The 18,263-nt window shown below is 35.7% G+C and overlaps 1 long non-coding RNA gene across 10 annotated transcripts in view, besides 1 other annotated feature; it reads left to right on the top strand.

Annotated features, from left to right (window-relative positions):
- The window catches only part of SLC12A2-DT (SLC12A2 divergent transcript), a 142,736-nt gene that overhangs the window by 53,965 nt on the left and 70,508 nt on the right, over positions 1-18,263 (top strand). For 4 of the 10 annotated variants that reach the window (NR_015360.2, NR_152812.1, NR_152800.1 and 1 more), the window contains one exon: positions 4,913-7,660. The exons of the other annotated variants lie outside the window; for them this stretch is intronic. This is a non-coding gene — a long non-coding RNA (SLC12A2 divergent transcript). Of the gene's footprint in view, positions 1-4,912; positions 7,661-18,263 lie in introns of those variants that run through there. 10 annotated transcript variants of the gene reach the window in all.
- Positions 15,467-15,667: a silencer, noted in NCBI's record as "peak5458 fragment used in MPRA reporter construct". NCBI's record gives its function as "represses an SCP1 promoter by STARR-seq MPRAs in K562 erythroleukemia cells {active_cell/tissue: K562}" and the evidence as "EXISTENCE:reporter gene assay evidence [ECO:0000049][PMID:32103011]".

The raw sequence follows: 18,263 nt of genomic DNA, 5'->3' as shown, positions 1-18,263 counted from the left end.
GCGATCATTAAAAAGTCAGGAAACAACAGGTGCTGGAGAGGATGTGGAGAAATAGGAACACTTTTACACTGTTTGGTGGGATTGTAAACTAGTTCAACCATTGTGGAAGTCAGTGTGGCGATTCCTCAGGGATCTAGAATTAGAAATACCATTTGACCCAGCAATCCCATTACTGGGTATATACCCAAAGGATTATAAATCATGCTGCTATAAAGACACATACACACATATGTTTATTGTGGCACTATTCACAATAGCAAAGACTTGGAACCAAGCCAAATGTCCAACAATGATAGACTGGATTAAGAAAATGTGGCACATATACACCATGGAATACTATGCAGCCATAAAAAATGATGAGTTCATGTCCTTTGTAGGGACATGGATGAAGCTGGAAACCATCATTCTCAGCAAACTATGGCAAGGACAAAAAACTAAACACCGCATGTTCTCACTCATAGGTGGGAATTGAGCAATGAGAAAACATGGATACAGGAAGGGGAACATCACACACCGGGGCCTGTTGTGGGGTGGGGGGAGCGGGGAGGGATAGCATTAGGAGATATACCTAATGTTAAATGACGAGTTAATGGGTGCAGCACACCAACATGGCACTTGTATACATGTGTAACTAACCTGCACATTGTGCACATGTACCGTAAAACTTAAAAGTATAATAATAAAAAAAAAGTGAAGTCAGTAATCTGTTACTTATTTTCATTTATATGACATGTATATTAGTTATTAAACAGGCAAGGTTTTAGCTGATTTAGTAGGTTGTAACAACTATGTATAAACTGTGCTTATTTTCTTATTAGCTAAAAATGTTGACATAAATAAATGAAGCTTTTAAATCTAGAATGCCTTCTGACTGGGAGAAGAACTGATTTTCTGTTAGAGTCAAGCTGGTTTTCAAAGTTGCTACTCACTTGACTATCCCTATGTAAAAATTGGACTAAAACTTAAAATTTGAAAATTTAAAAAATATTACAGGGATGGGAGCACGGGATAGGTAATGGAAGGAAATTAGAGTCTTGGGTAAAGTTATTACCCTTATGAGCTATATTTGTCATACAGCCTCTGGTTCATTGCTTTTTAATTTCAAGTCACTAAACTCTACTCACTTGAAAACATAATGTTGCCAGATAAAATTCAGCATATTCAGTTAAATTTGAATTTCAAATAAACAATAAATAAATTTTTAGTATAAGGATGTCCCATGCATTATTGCAATATTTGGTTAAATACTTCCACCAAAATTGTTACTTATCTGAAATTCAAATTTATCTGAGTATTTTGAATATTTATTTGATAAATATGGCAATCCTATTTGTAACTAAAATTTTCATATCTCTGGCAAAGATCAAGTTAAATTTGTCGTCAATTGTTCTGCTAAATTTCTAAGCACTTGAATTAGGGGTGGGATGATGAAGCCATTCACCATTTAGGGAAACAAGCTGAGTGCCAACATTTCTTCCTCTTCTTTCCTTTAAGGAAATTTATGAGCAATAAGTTTTCTGGCTTCTTATATTTCACTTTTTCTGTTTGAATCACAGGCCGTCCAATTCAGAAACATTTGCAAGAATATAGAAGGCAATGTAGACCAACCTTGGAGTATGATTTTAAATAAAGATGAGATTAGCTCAGTGTAGTACAATAACACATTTTTATCACTTTTTCAAACCTTTATTTTCAAAAACACTATGTTTAAAGTTGCCACAGATCAAATTTAATTATCACTACCAGCTCTGAAGAAACTGTATTATTTCAGTTCTTGTCACCAGTAGAAATTTTTGATATACCATATGTGGCTTAAAATGAAGAGGTAGCTGGCTTGTTGCTCACACATCCTTGGACTGTCCAAAATGTTAGTTGAATAGGGATTTTTTGGCTTGGGGTTCTCTTAGTAGATGGCTGGAGCTCTTGGATCAAATTTCTTTCTTCATTTTACCTTTGCCACCATCCCTAATGCCTTTTACATCTACATTAGTACATTTTAGGCTTCTCCACTTTGAAATCTTTCACTCTCTAATTTTGCACAGGTTCACTTTCCCAACATATTTTCCATATATGGGCGTGGCATTAACCCTGGATTTTATCATCATAAATTTCCCAGAGAGTAAATGGAGCCATTTTCCCTGTAGGACCACATTCTTATAGCTTCCGTCTTCTCTACTCCTCTATCAGGCCACTAGTATTACTTCACCCAGTGAGTCTTTCTTGACCACCTTGCACTTATTCCCTGCTTGGCTTCCACTCTAACCATTCCAACACTATAGATCACCTTCCATCATGAAAGTAATGACCTGGGCATCAATTTCGTGACCTCACAAACTTTCTTCTTTGGCACCTGATCCTTGACAAAAAGAACTCTGTTAAAGGATAGAAGACACTGTGGGCCAGATCCACTGCAAAGTCAAGTGTGTCATTAAAAGGATTATGAGTATGTCTAGAGTCAGACCAAAGTATGAGAGGCATACAAAATCCAATCAGGACTAAAAGAATGCAAAAATTTTGCAGAGTCCTATCAGACAGTAAGGAAATTAATGGAATCAAGTCAGAGCATGAAGGAAGTTAATTGCAGTCATGGTAAGGATGCAGAATTCTAGCTATCCCAGTCAGGTGAATAAAATTGGTTTGTGAGCTGCATAGACTTGCTGACACAGTTTGTATAAAATAGCTGCAATCTATTTTGTGATTCTGGAAGAATCATGGAAGTATAGATTTCAAGTTCCACTCTCTAGTCTTAAATTTCTGAACAATAAATAACTATCAAGATCTTAGAACTTTGATTTAATAACTTCATTCTATTAATACTTGAGATGGTAAATCTCCTTCACTGAGTAAATCTCTTGAAACTCAGGAAGGTTTAGAATTAAAATGGATGCAATGAAATAAATGAAACCCATGATACTTAGGCTTTTATATAAGAACATTTTACACAATCATTAGGGAAATATGTGTATGTGTTATTTAATCTAAGAGATTACACATGTCACTTTCATTTGAAATATGTATTTGGTTTAGATATGTGACTTAAGAGGAAAAATATAAGAATTTGAATAATTTATTAAAATCAGTTTCGGAATATTTATGAACAATCGTGATTCATATTTTCATAGATAAAATTTATTAGCTCTATAGAAGTGATGAAGGAGCTGTGGAAGGCCTTACTTTTTAGGGTATAGGTGTACCTGTGCAGACACTTGAAATGCTTGCAAAAAATCAAATCTATTAAATTTATAATTTAAAATGTGGCAAAGTGTAATTAAGTATTTAAACAGAATTATTTACATGATTGTAATCTGTTCAACATGAGTTACTTGAACTCATGTTCAGTTAAAAACAACAATAAAAGAACATCTGAAAGTGATTATTCTTATTTTATACAAAAATATTAGATTTTTTAAGTGAAAGATTTGGATGTTGACCTCAAAGGTTTAAGAATATCTTACCTTTAAAAATATCTGAATATTAATTTGAAATCTAAATAACTATAAATAGCCCTTTCTGAGCACAAACTGAAACACTCAACCTAACCCTTAACAATCGCACTTCCCTACTTTTTTTCCACTGTCAGAATATGCTAAACACTTTTTTGTTTTACCCCAAATACTTCTTTTTTGTCCAAACCCAGTTGAGGTTCTGCCTCAGATATTAGAATATATTTCCTAAAATGTAGCTGTCAATGATTGCTTCTTGTTTTGACATTTTAGTACCCTTTTTCTCTTCTTTTATTCACTTTAGACTTAACTTAATAATTTTTCAGTCAGAACAACTCATCTGTTAATCCACCTAAAGGAATATATTTGCATCCTTATATCTTGTTTGGTACTGGGTAGACCAGTTGTTTACATCAAATCCTTTACTGAATGATTTAGGTATTTCAATAATTAATCAAATGTTTGCTTTTTACACTTTCTGGAGGTATAATTTGCATGCCATAGTTTTTTCCCATTGAAAGTGCACAATTCAATAATTTTTAGTAAATTTAGTAATTATTCTACTTGGGTGCAGCAATTCAACAGTACTCTCAGTGACCATTGCTCTTTGTATCTTTCCCTTCTGCCACCCTCAGTGGTTTGATTTTCTTTCTAAGGTTTGTCTAAGGCAAGTTTGCAGTACAACTATGATAGCTCCAGGAACTGCATCTTCAAAGTTATGCATTCACAACCAGAAGAAGATATAGTCCTTCTCACTGTTTCTTTTTTTTATTAAGGATCAAAATTCCTTCCAGAAATCCCCATAGAAATTTCCCTTATATTTGTTTGATTGATACTAGGTCACATGCTTATTCCTGATTTGGTAACCCAATGGGTTACAATGCTCACTTAGACCAATTATACTGTATACCCAGCCTTCATCACCTAGCGCTGGGTGAGAAATAGAAGGTATATTATTTTGAATCTCACTATTATGATTCCTTTGACAATCTTTAGAATTCATGTTGGGACTTTCAGTTTATCTTTCTAATCCTCAGTTTCCTGCTTGGTAAAACAAGGGGACTGGAGTTAGACTAGGGTCAGGAAAATCTCTGAAGATTCCTTCCAGTGCAAAAGACTTGTTGGTCCCTTAGAGTTTTTCACAGTTTCCCTTATCCATTCCAATGGGGCTTGTAGGGAGCCTAGCTCCATTCTGATTTGATTCCAGGAACTACAATCAAAGTGTAGAGGTGAGGAAGAAATGTTTCTTTTCGTTTATCTTTAACCAAATCTACTTTTTTCTCCATCTGACTTTGCTTGGAGCCATAGGCTTGTATTATCTTGGATTATAATATACTTCTATTTAGATAGCATTGAAAAAATTGAAATCAGGGTGTTCAGTGTTAAAACCCCCTGGTTTAAAATATGTCTTTGTGGTTTGGCTTATCTGCTATTTTATTTTAATTAATTTATTTTTCTTTTTCTTGCAGCCACAGCAATTGTCTGCTATTTTAAAAGCACTGTGATGCTTAAATATTCCAGCTGCTACATCGGACAGGTGTCTGATGATCCTGAGAACAGTCATCAAAAAGTAGAACTTGAGCCTGGAATACATTCTCTGGCATAGCCATAGTCAATCACCAGTATAATTAATGTAAATGGACACTGGATAGCTTTTTTGTGAATTCTGATGCAGCACAAAGAGACTTTAATTGTTTCCAAAAAGAAAATGTCTGAGATTAAAATCTAGAGTTTTATGACTTAGAGGAAATTTTATAGCTTTACTCCAAAAAGGGTAAGGCACAAAATATTCTGTGCCAAAGGATGCATATTTGGTATTTTTCCTATGAATCCCTTAGTGTAAGTGGCATGATGAAATTTTCTTGGTTTCAACACAGATGATGTGTTGAGGTAGTGTTGAGGCTGAGAGGTGGGTGGGATGGGTCTTGGAGAAGGAAAAGATTTGTTTTGCAAGGTTTGTGGAGAGCTGATGCGGTAGTGAGGCTAAGACGAGGGGTATTTACTTGCTACTTACATTGAGTCCACTAACATCTGCAGCACTTTGCTTGCATTATCCACGCAATTATCACGGGAAACCTATAAAATAAGTATTCCTCTCCTCATTTTACAAATAGGGAAGCAGATAAGATTTAGAAAATTTCCCAAACTCACACAATTATTAAATGACAGAACTAGGACTCAAACCCAGGTTTTATTAATTTTAGAGACATGTTTTTAACCACTTGGACACTGCCAACCATGGAATTGTTGGTATGAAAAAAACGTACTCTTGAGTTATATTATCCATGGTCTTAATATCAGAGAAGTGCAGTTGAGTCGCTATTAAAGAATATGGTAAAATTATAAAATGGATACTATACAAAGGTATAAAAATATTATAAATACTTATGTTTGGGGTAAAAGGATCAAAGTAGCCATGCTCAGTGGAAGGGTAAGGAACTCTTAGCAGAGATTGATTAATTGGGAGATAATTGATTAATTGGGAGTTGATTGATTAATTGGGATTTATTAATTTGGGAGTAGGTAGGAAGATAGGAAGTTGTATAAAATAAGGGAGAGATAACTTAGTACCTGGAAAAAAAGAAATGGAAATAGGTAGAAGCTAAGAGTTCAATTAAAAAAAAGGAATAAAAGATATTGGAAGGGAACGATGAATGTAGCATGGAAGATCCAAGATGATGGGAGTTCAGGGGCTAATTACAGCTATGGGGAAAAAGTAATGTATAAGCTGGAAGCCAGAGATAAGAGCCATGTAAATGAAGAAGTTGGGCCCCAATAGGAAAGAATTATAAGGACTAGAAGGAGCAGGAGCCATGTGGAAAAATATCATGTAGTACTTTTAAGCTTGATCTGTCATCTGTAGCAAAACCAGCATGCTTGAGTACTGAATTGACCTGACTGAACTATGTTGAAATGTACTGTGGTTTTATATCCATATGCACTTGGTCTGTGGAGTTGTGGGAAAAGCATCAGTGAGTAGGAAGCCCAAGGATTTGGGTCAAGTATTAAATATGCTATTTACTGTCTAGCTATGTGACCTTATATAAGTCACTTGTGGTCTCTGAGCCTTCATGTATTCATCCATAAGATGAGTTGTTGTTTATATTAAATGGGATGTGGTATGTTAAAGAGCTGAATGCATAGTGATACAGAATTACTTTCTGTAATACTATTTTTTAAATATTTTAAATGAAAAATTAATGAACTTATAAATTAAAAGATTCAAAAGGGATAAAAAGGTATACAATGAAAAGCAATTCTCCTTCCCACCAGTAACTCTGTCCTACTCCTTAGGACATTCACCATAAACAGATATCCTGAATTCTTCTAGAAATATTATATATAAAATCTTATATTTCTTATGTTTCTTTTTTACTATTTTAAAGGGGATAAACTAAACTTTGCTTTTTTTCATATAATAATATATTCTGGAGATCATTTTCTAAAAGCACATGTAAACATACCTCATTATTATAAAGGTTTGAAAATATCAATTTATTTGACCTGTCCCCTCTCGATAGATAATTAGATTGTATCCATCCCTTTGGTTATTACCAACAGACACTAATCACTTATCATGTACATATAGCCTGTTTTTTAGCATTGTTAGACAAAGTAGGCATATTCCTTTCCATCCAAGAACTCATAACCTAGTAATTGTAGTTGGCTGATAGCTCATTGCCCATACACAAGGATCTAACACAACCTCTTGAATAAACATCCCCCTTATTCAGAAATGCCTTTTCCTATTTCCATATTGCAACTTTGCTTACAAATTTCCAATCTGTCTTTCTGTTTACAGAAGATATACAAAATTCCTTTTGTATGATCTCTTTATATCTCTTGATTTTCTTTTGTGTTTGCTACCAAAGGGCCTGCACATAGTGAGAAGATTGTGCATGATCTGTGAGCTCTACCACACCTGGAATTAGGGATCACCAATATGAGAAAAAAAATTGGAGGTACAAATAACATTATCATATGTAATTGGCATATAAATTACAGATGTATCTATGACTAAAAACCCTGTGGATATAAACCAAATGCAGATAAATATAATAAAATATATAAAAATATAATCAAATAATGATAGTGCTATTCAAATACTTCAAATTTGCACAGTGATTTATTTCTTAAAATATGTTAACACATGTGAGCCAATACACTGAGGTCACTGGATAAATAAACAGATTCTTGCAAGTGCTTTGGAAATGAAACTTTTTTTTATCATTTTAATTTTGAAGAAATAAACTTTAGAATTTTAGAGTCATAGAATTTTAGTGGTAGGAGGAAATTGACAGTTTAATCTAGTGGTTCTTAAAAAGTTTTATGCGTCTTAGATCCCTTTGAGAATCTAATAAAAGCTATGTTCTCTTTCCCAGAAAAATAAAATTTATGATACACTTTTGAAGAGTCCATAGATGCCCTGAAGCAAATTCACTGCCCTGTAGAGCAGTATTTTGCTTTGTTTTCAAACAGCTTTATTAGGATGTAATTTAATGCCATAAAATTCATCCATTTTAAATGCGCAATTTAATGAATTTTAGTATATTTACAGAGGTGTCCAACCACCACCACAATCTAATTTTATAACATTTCCATCACCCTAAAAAAAATTTTTAAGTCAATTTACAGTCACTCCCCATTCCTACTTCTAGCCCTACACAACCACTAATCTATTTTCTGTCTCTCTATATTTGTAGCTCAGAATTTTAAAAACATTTCAGTTCTATTAACAATAAGAAATATGTTTAACACCCAACTCACAGATAGAACAAAAGTTTATAGACAAATAGTCTTGTTCTGTGCAATGTATTCTTAAGTATTCCAATCCATTACAAAAATTGGTTTTATGACCAATCAAATGGTTACAAACGCAATTTGACCAACTCTGTCCTAGAGAGTCTACCCTAGCTGAAAACCCAGGTGGCTCCTCTGTTTAACAGCTGAAGAAACAGGCCCAGCAATGTGACTTGCTCAAGACAAAAGCCAGGTCATAGCAGAGTGATAATGCTATTTAAATTCTTCAAATTTGCACAGTGGATTAGAATTCAGTTCTCTTTGTCCTAGAGCACTTCATTATTTGTTCTACTCTTGATTTCCATGACCTAGGAACAAGCACAAAAGGGGTTTATAAGAAGCCACAATAAATTGATATGTGATCAGGAGAAAAAATATTTAGTGTGTTACAGTTTGAGGCAGGAGAGGAGAAACTTGATTCTTCCTGGAGAAGTGGGGTGCATGGATGGTGAAGCAGTATGGGGCTGCTCTGGACCACAGGAGGAAGGCACACCTGCTGCAAGGTGACCAAAAGCACTCCCTGGTGGAGGCCACAGCTTGAGGCTAATTGCCCTTCATCGTGTTCAGGTTATTAGAGTTGAAGTCAAACAGCCTTTTCCACTGAGGTGTCTCTTGTGGCTCTGTTGCTCAGAAGGTTCTGGCATGTTTATAATCTTCTGCAGTGACTCTGCAGTACCAGCAGAAGTTCTTTCTTTTGCTTTCTGTGGTGCCTACAGGCTGTCAGCCCATCTGCATTCAGAGCATATGCCTACAGTGCATCTTCATTCTTGTCTGCCTTTGCTGTGGGTTGAAATGTTATCTCTCCATATACTGCTGAATATTCACTGTGATGCTTGTGAAACCTACTGCCTTCCATTCATATTTTGGATAGCAAGCAGCAAATTGGAGGGTAATGGTAGGTGCAGGGTTAAGAATTCAGTTGTTTAGCAGATAATCACACAAATTATTGAGAATAACACTGAAGATGGCAATAAAGGAAAGGTATAGGGCCCCCTGAGAACATATAACGGGGGTACCTGGCCAGGCCCGATGAGTGATGAAATCTAAGCTTTTGATCATTATAGTTTACAAGATGGAAGACAGGCATGTTTTACATTTATGAAGGGCCCAAAGACCCTCATTTTTTAGTTTTAAAAGTGTCTACGTTTTCCAAAAATAGGTGAATGAAGTACAATGAGAGCAGCTATCAGCTTCTTTGGGCAGAGAAATGTATGATTAACCTTTTTTTTTTTGAGAAAGGTATTTGTGGAGAGAAGTCACAAAGGGTGAGGATTCCATTTCAGATTTCAATCCTAGATTGAAGAGGAATGGGGCTTAGGGGGAGACAGAGAAAGTACTGTTTATCTTCTTGCCAGAGGGAAGAACCAGACATGTGGGAACTAAATGCAATCTAGCTTGAGCAGAGTGTGAAGAGACTTGGGGAATGAAAAAAAGAAAAAAAAAGAAAGAGAATGCAAAGTTCTTGTAGAAAATTAAGAAAACCGGGAAATACAGGATTCCAGCATGGTGAAAGAGAACTGACAGTTGAGTCAGGAGAATAGAAAGTGAATCCCTGTATGTGGCTATATGCAGATTTGGTGTGACCTATTTCTTGTCTTTCTCTAGCACAACAGTTGGCTTGGAAAGCCTAAAAAGACTTGTTGAGCCCATTTGTTGGGAAAGGAAGGGATTCTGGAGGATATTTGGGCAATAAGGTCCTAGGGGGGAAAAATCCCAGACAGACTTGAAGCATTGTCATTCACCTTTTCCCAGTAACTTCTGTGACTTTAAATGAGCAATAAGTATTTAAAAGTATTTAAAACATTACCAAGATGGGACCAACAATGGGAAGTCTCTGAATCATGGTTGTCATTAATAGGAAGATGAATTTTAGGCTACTGGTGGCACACATCTTATTAGAATGGAGAAGAATGTATTTGCCTGGTCTAGAGTTCTATGAACTGGACATGGTAGGTATGAAGAGAAGATGAAGAGAAACATCCAGACTATCTATGGAAGAGCTGGTTAACAGGAAAACATTATGGGAGCTTCTCAGGTTTTGACAAGTGAAAATAGGCAGGGAAGCCAAAAATAACACTGAAGCCTTAAACATCCATCCCTTAGGTGATATGGACGTAGCAAACAAGATGAACAAAATAAGCCTAAGACCATAATCAGCAAGCGTGAATTCAGATGCATCAGTTGGTCTACTGTGCCAGAGCCCTCAAGTGGAAAAGTACAGTGGCAGAGCAGGGAGAGGGGAGAGGTGATGTGTGTCAGGATGCTGCATACCTGGAAGAGAATCCTTCTACCTGCTGGTGCAAGCACACTGCAGGACAGGAGAAAGGTTGAAAAGAAAAAAGAAAAACAGTCCATTGTTTTACAAGTAGAGTTGAGGCTCTCTGATGAGATAGATAAAATGAACAATGCATTCCTGAAGCAGATGCTAAAATTGTCACAGAAAAAAAAAATATACAGTAGTGATAGAGAGTTTCAGCCAGCTGATCATCTGCATGGATGTCTCAATTGGCTGAAGTTAACCAAGTTCTTATCTGGCTTTATTCACAATTATATGCACCAAAAAAGTCAGTTACATAAGCCAGTGTATTATCTGTCATTATCTGTCATCCAGTGTAAATAATTTCATGATGTTAGTCCATTTGAATAGTATGTTGGTCTCCTTTCCACCTGGAGAACCATAAGACTAACAAGAACTTGCAACTCTCCCAAAATCCAAATAAAACATATGTCTGATAGTCAGTTGACTGAAACAATAAAATAATCTAAAATGTTATTTTCCTAATTTAGTAAATTCTTTTCTATTTGTCATTCAGATAGCTCTGGAGTCTTCACTCCCCTTTTTGCCTTGTAATGGAGGAGGTTTATGATTTTCCATTCATATTACATGAAATGTAGAGAAGAGAGTAAGGAGCAATGAAGGAAGGAAAAATGGTGTACAAAACATGATTCTTCAGAATAGTATTTCAGTAAGTAATGAGAATGTGAAGAATCAAGTTTGGCTGTAGTTGGCTATAGTGCTTAAGACGGGAAGTAATGGGAAGTAATTTTGGATAGATAGTTGGCAGTCAGACTGTGGAAGCCTTGAGCGCCAAGCTAAATTGTTTGAATTTTATATTTGGGGTATAGGAAGTCTTAAAATATTTGAGCAGGAAGTGTCAAAATGAGAATGATTTTTAGGAGTGCTAATTTGGGTGCCATAGCTAGGAAAAATTTGTGGGCCAAAGCGATTAGGAGATACTAAAAACAGGGGAAACCAGACAGGAGAATATTACACTAGAGCAAGCACAAGGTGAGAAAAGGCTGAACTAGATTGATGATAGTGCCAATGGGAAAGAGAGATTATGCAAAAAAAGAATTGTTAGGGCTTGGTAAAGGACAAAGAGAGAAGTGAGATTATGCTGAAGTTTTGAGCCCAGGTGACCAGAATAATGAAAGGGAAGATTGAAAAAAATTATTGATATATGACTTATTGGTGATGGCAGAAAACCCAAGTGTAGAAGTTTAAGAAGCAATTTAAGATATGGGAGGGCAGATAAGGTCAGACTTTGGAGATATAAATATAGATTTTGAATTTATTTTCATAGGGAGTTAACAGTTGGAGCTACAATAATATGAGCTTTACCTAAAATATCCATGCCATTAGAACTATTTTTGCCAAATTATTTTTTCCAGTGAATATGGTCTACAGTAGTTTTTCATGTTTGTTATAGCCAGAGTTCAGTTTTAGATAAGAGTCTGGCCTGTTTAAGCTGAAAGATATTTGGCTATTAAGAGGTTTGTGAAAGCATTGTGACAGAGGGAGCTGAAGAAACAGGGTCTAGGTTGAGCTTCCAGGAATGACTCTCAAACCTTATTAGAGAACTGGGCATCCGGATGAGCTGCTGCCACCTCCTCCACCAGGGCCAGGAAGACCCTGGATCAGGAAGCCTGGGTTTCTGTGGCTGACCATGAGACAATGCTGCCTCCAGCACAGACCTTTCTAGGAATATGTACGTTGAACTCTACCTTTCTCTTCATGCAAGTCTTTCTGAATTGAAACCTAAAACCTGAATGTAAAAGGACCAAGAGATGTTGTTTTTTAGCTTTCCAGCTTCTGCATGCTAGAAGAGAGTTGGCATAAATGTTGAGTAAACCAATCCATAATATTCAACACTGTGTCTCAGCCTCATTTCACAGTAAATATCTAGAATCAAGTTGAAATTTGAGAGTTTATATGATTCTCTTAATCAGACCAATGAGACTGCAATACTGATCTTTCTGTGGGCACAATATCATGTTGTTCACTGTGTTTTCAGCATATTATTTATAGGGCTACTAGTTCAGGGATGACAATAAAGACCAAGAATCAGAGGTTGCATCCAGTCTCAAAAGGAAAGTGTGCCATGATTAATTTATAATGCCGGCCTAGGGGGAGGAAAGGGAGGGGAGGGGGCAGTGGCTTCTTCTATTTGCCACCTCCATACTAGATCACTGCTTCATTAGTGATATTCTTATTGCTTTGTCTGTCACCGTAGAATACTTCCCTTACATGTTAGAAGAAACAGACACTCTAACATTTTGGCGAATAGGTTTTTTTTTTTTAACCAGTAGTTTTTTCTATTAGAAAACTAGTAGAACACATACTAAGTCCTCAGCACCCTGAGTGTATTATGTGATCTTAACTATTTTATTTTTTAACTCTAGATTTATCCAATGGTGTCCTCCCCTCCCTCTCCCTCAGTTCCTCTATGACTCATCTGCTGATTTTATCTTATCTTTTTCCTAAGCTGCTTCCTTGGAAGGATCAGTCCCCTCAGTAGAATGCTTTTTGGAAATGCCATTAGGGCCAGGCAGTGTGGGGCAAAGCTGGAAATGTGCGCAACTTTCAACTTCCAAGAAAGGGAGCATCAGTGGCCTGAGGGGGTGAACTTTTCTGCTGCTACCAGGAGACCTGGGAGATTTAATCTTAACTTTTCTAAATGTCTCTCTCTTCCCCTCTTTACTCATCTGTCAAGGTTACCTTCTTTCTGACACTTCATTGATGACCTTCTCCCAGCCCCACTCCAGACAAAATTAGCCACTCCTTTCTCTGTACTGTCTTATAGAGTACACCTTCTGCTGTAGCAAATAGCATATTACATTTTGGTTATTCATGTACATGTCATTTTCAAATCGAGCTATTCAAAGGCAGGAACTGTCATCTTAAAACCATAATGTATTGAGTATTTTACATATATTATCTCATTCAGTTTTTACAATAAACCTAAGAGCTCAGGGGGGTTAAATATCATGCTCCACTGAAATGTAATTACTCAGCAAAAATAGGGCTTGAAACTAGGTCAGGATTTATATCTATACCTAGCACAGTGCTTGGCATCAGGTGTGTAGAGGGTCAATAAATGCCCAACAAGTAAGTAATTAAATGTACAAACTGTATGTTACAAGAAAGTCTTTTGGCCATCAGATGAAAACAAGTCCTTTCAGTTACTCCCCACAGCTGTGAGTATGCTGCGGACTTTAATTCAAACCAGACCTTAATACCTAGGAGAAGAAGGATATATCACAAAGCCGAATTACCGGGAACAATGCTGTAACCACCTCAGTTAAGGTCATCTACCGAGCTTGGCCTTCCCAATAATGTTGTTGACATCAGAAAAATCATTTAAAGATTCAATTTAAAATGTTAATACTGCAGTGTCAGAAACATACAAACATGAAACAAGAAAAAAAGCCTTCCTTCCATTGTGTGAAATGAGCTTTGTCATGCCCTGTGTTCAGATGGAAGATTTTCTTTTGCTAAAATATTAAGACCTACTTAATGAACTTTGACAAAGCAATGCACTTTTCCAAGTTTGCATAGTTTGCGTGGTTATCTGTTTTTGGTACCACTATCTCCTGTGTTCCTGAAGGAGTTTCTTGCCATGATTTGAATGAATAAAGATCTTTTCGAACTAAGATGTTTTAGATCTAATGTTTTTTGTCTGCTGGCATTATTCATAAATGGCAGCCAGGTGCCTGAGCTATTTTTTGGCTTTCCTTTTCTGCTCCAAAGTGGGTTTTTCCATCAATAGGTCTTCTTCCACATTTACCATCCATTGGGGTGGAGGTTGGGAGTGGCTGTGTGCTTCCAGGGTGCTGTGCTGGGAATGCTGGACACTATTCCCCTGTGTTCATAAGCTCACCCTGTTTCCATGTGTCACTGCACACGTGTTGGATCCTGGTGGAAAAATAGTTCGGTTCAAATGGAAATAGCAGGAAGTAGGACAGCTGCATTTCAAAGCTTTTCATTTCCTTTTCCTCAGCATCCAGCATATGGCTCACAATAGGGTTACTGAGTGTATAGTTCTGCACAGTTTCTCCCTGCCTTTACCTTTCTGTTTTGCTCCTTTGCTATCACCACTCCTAACCTTAAAGCCAAATAGTGTTCCCAATGTCTGTCTCTTGGGAATATTAGTTTTATCTTAATAAAAATTTTCTTAAAAATCTAAACTCTTAGGAATTCTACTCATATACCCTCAGATTCTTTTTTAATGTGATTATCCACTGTAAGACTTTTTTAAAAAAAAATCTTTTTTTGGGAGTGGGAAAGGTTTGGGAAGAGGCAGTGTGATTTTTGACAGTCTTGTGGTAGTAGGAGTGGAGAGATTTGGTTTCTGGTCCTAGTTCTGCCTCTATCTAAATGACTATTTCAGACAAGTCATTTAAACATTCAGGGTCTCTAGAACAAGAGAGTTGAAGGCTAAAGAGATGATCTTTAAAATCCTTTCCAGATTTTTTTTTTTAAAAAAAAAGATCCTGGGATTTTATCCATCTAGTTTTAGATTTTTTTTTTTTTTTTTTTTTTGGTTTCCCAGAATTTGAGTGAAGTAGAATTTAGAGGAGGTACAAAGTGTGAACAGAACTATTTTTATATGAGAAGGATTTTCTACCATAACGCATTCTCTATTGATTTGTGTTTCTATACTTTCTCTGTGAATTAAATTCTTCAAAATTATCCATAGTTCCCAGTATATTTAGAGCCATTGGAATATAATTAGATCGATCTAAATGACTCTCAGATTGACCACTAAATTATTTCTGGAGCTATCATAGTTTATTGAAAACAGGGTCTTAGTGTCTTCCTGAGAAGAAATAGAATAATTTATTTTAAGAAACTTACTGGAATTTCTTAAGTTTGTGCTCAGAGTTTGTGCTCAAGATTCTAGCTTCTCCTCCCCTCCTCCCCACCTTTATTCTTATAGTGTATTTACTACTTACCTTCAACAAATCGATTCATCTCTCTGGGCCACAAGCTACCCAGTTAAAGAACAGTAGTATATTTCAAAATTATCTGGAATGTAAGGGCTACCGAGTTGAACTCTGTAACATGTTTTAGGTAGTCTGATAAAAACTGATAAAGACAATGTCTTATTTTAGTCTCATTTTCCTCTTCATGCTATTAAAGACATTCAGTATGAGAAATGCTATTTCTGTTTTCCAAGTAGAATTTTTGAAAATGTTGACTATAGTAGCAAATTTTTTAAAAGAAAAGTCCATCAGGCATTTATTGAGCATAAGCATTAACATTATTTATTAAATTTCAAGTCATTAGCATTGCATTTTTTTTTCTGGGCACTATCAAATTTCCTTTTATATCTTGGTGATTAAATGTATCCTATATCTACTAACAAGAGGGCGACTTCATTTTGTGCCAGACAGAAACTCTAATTCTCCCTAGAGACTTTAGAGTGTTTCATTTTATGTACAGTGAATCAGAAGGGCCCCTTTCTTCATTTTATAAATACTACTTTTATCCAAGTATCTTTATTCCCTGGCCTAACTGAGCCATAGGTGTCCTTTAAAGTTGAATAGTACCCATTATTGATAAATATAATATTTATAGAGATATTATTAATAATAATCTAGGAATCTGTTCTTTACATTTGGCAGCTGAATTTTCAAATCCACGTCTTTGCAGATTAAATACTTATATCTTGCCATGAATAGTATAAAACATCAAAGACTTATTTTGCTTTGAAATGGTCAACATGTTAACTAACCACATTATTAGCATCTAGATCCTTTATTGTTTTATTTTTTCATGGTTTTCAAATTTTACACCAATTCTATGTAACAAGCCTGCATATCCAGCACACGTACCCCAAAACTTAAAATAAAATAAAAATAAAAATAAAATTCTACTAGGTCAGTGAGATGAGCATTTTACCTGCCAATATGTGGTAGTGCAAGGGTGAATCCTGGTTTAGGGGGGCCTGAACCTTACATAATTGGGGGTAGGAGAGGACTCTCTAAGAAAAATAACACAAAGTAGTTACGATAGTGATATATACGTAGAAAAAGAAATCACACACACAAGTTTAAAAGAGCTGACAAATACCACAAATTAAATTAACTTCCTGAAATTAAACTGTCCTTTTCCCAGTATTTTGGGATGTAAGCTCTTTGATTACCTCTTTACATGTCAACAATTTTTAAATTTTATATCATTTTCTATAAAGAGAACAGAATAAACTTTTCTCTAGCATGATTGATACAAATTTGTTCTTAGTTGTTTACAAAAGATTTATTTTATTTCTACAACCCATGATTGATTGTGTAAAATTATGGATTTTTGTCTGTGGATTCTGAACCTAAAACTCTATTCACTTTAAGGAAAACCTAACTCTGACCAAGTGCCTGGTCTTTTTGACTTTGGAAATAATGTTCTTTATATCCCTGGTCCAGGTGTGAACATTCCCTTGGGGCACCAGTGCATGGTGCTGATGTGGCAGTATCTGATGTCATTTTGTAGAAATAAGGCCTCTCTCTTTCCCCTCGCCACGTTTCCTTTTGTTTGTGGTATCCCCAGAGCCTAGCAGTACACTTCGTACACAGCATGTGGAGAAGTAAAAAGATAGAGTCTTTCCAGGGTTCAAATCCTACTTTTGCCCTTTGACTTTTGGAAAATTAGTTTATGTTTATGAGGCTCAATTGTAAACCAAAGCTAATACAAACCTTTAAAAGTTTCTGTGGGAATCAGAGAACTTATATATGGACCTTGTTCCCAGACACTCCATGATAGAAAGAAGAATATATGTAAATTAGTTAATTTTTGTGAGCCTTGGTTTATTCATTTATAAAGTGAAATTATTAACACTTATCTTGAAAGGTTGTTTTGAGGATCCTAGATAATGCACATAAATTAATTAGCACAGTTCTTGGAATATAGACAGCATTAATCAATATATCAGCACTACTTGTGGGAAAGGCTCTTAGGGCTCACCAGATATTCTGGTGCTCTTCTATACTTTCCAGACTACCTAGCAGTTAGGTTAGTGTCATGTGAGTAGCTCTAGCCAATGAAATATGAAGAGAAATTGGCATTTCTGGGCCAGGACAGTTAAATGCCAGTGTATTTTCTGCATCTGTTTCCACCTCTGCAGCAGGAACCTTGGCTATGGTGTAGCTACAATATGCAAGGAAATTGCATCCCTGAGTCATTATCAAATGGGAACTTCTCAGGAGAGCTCCTAGACTGTATTGGACTTTGTATGAACATGAATTAAAATTTGATTATGTTATGCCACTATGACTTGGGGATTTTTTTTTTTTTTTTTTTTTTTTGGTCACTGCAGTTTGCCTAGCATTATCCAGTCATTATTGTTGTTGTTGTTACTATTGAATTGAATAGAACTACTCAAACTTTGGCAATTTTACTGATACATGGAGCTAAAGTGTTGGTGCCTACCCTCAGGTAATGGAGACAGTAAAATATTCCTGTTGCAAATCAAACCTTTATTTCTTTCACAAACATAGATTCCAAGAAAATTAAGGGAAAATAACATAGGAGGGAGAAAAAAGTATATTAAATTTTCCATTTGGCTCCCCAGCTAATCCTCTTTATTAGGCTACCTTATTTCCTTGAAACACTCTAAGAGTCAATGCATATTTTCATGACTTATAATGTCTCTTTATCAAAGTTTTAGAAATTATGTTTTCTCTCTTCTAAATTTCATTGGTTCAAAAATCCTCCTCCAAGACATTTTTTTAAAAAGGTCTAAT

The sequence above is a fragment of the Homo sapiens genome, chromosome 5, assembly GCF_000001405.40.
Source record: "Homo sapiens chromosome 5, GRCh38.p14 Primary Assembly".
Lineage (NCBI taxonomy): Eukaryota > Metazoa > Chordata > Mammalia > Primates > Hominidae > Homo > Homo sapiens.
Note: the sequence above shows the minus strand (reverse complement) of the source record. Positions and strands in the feature narration are given on the sequence as shown.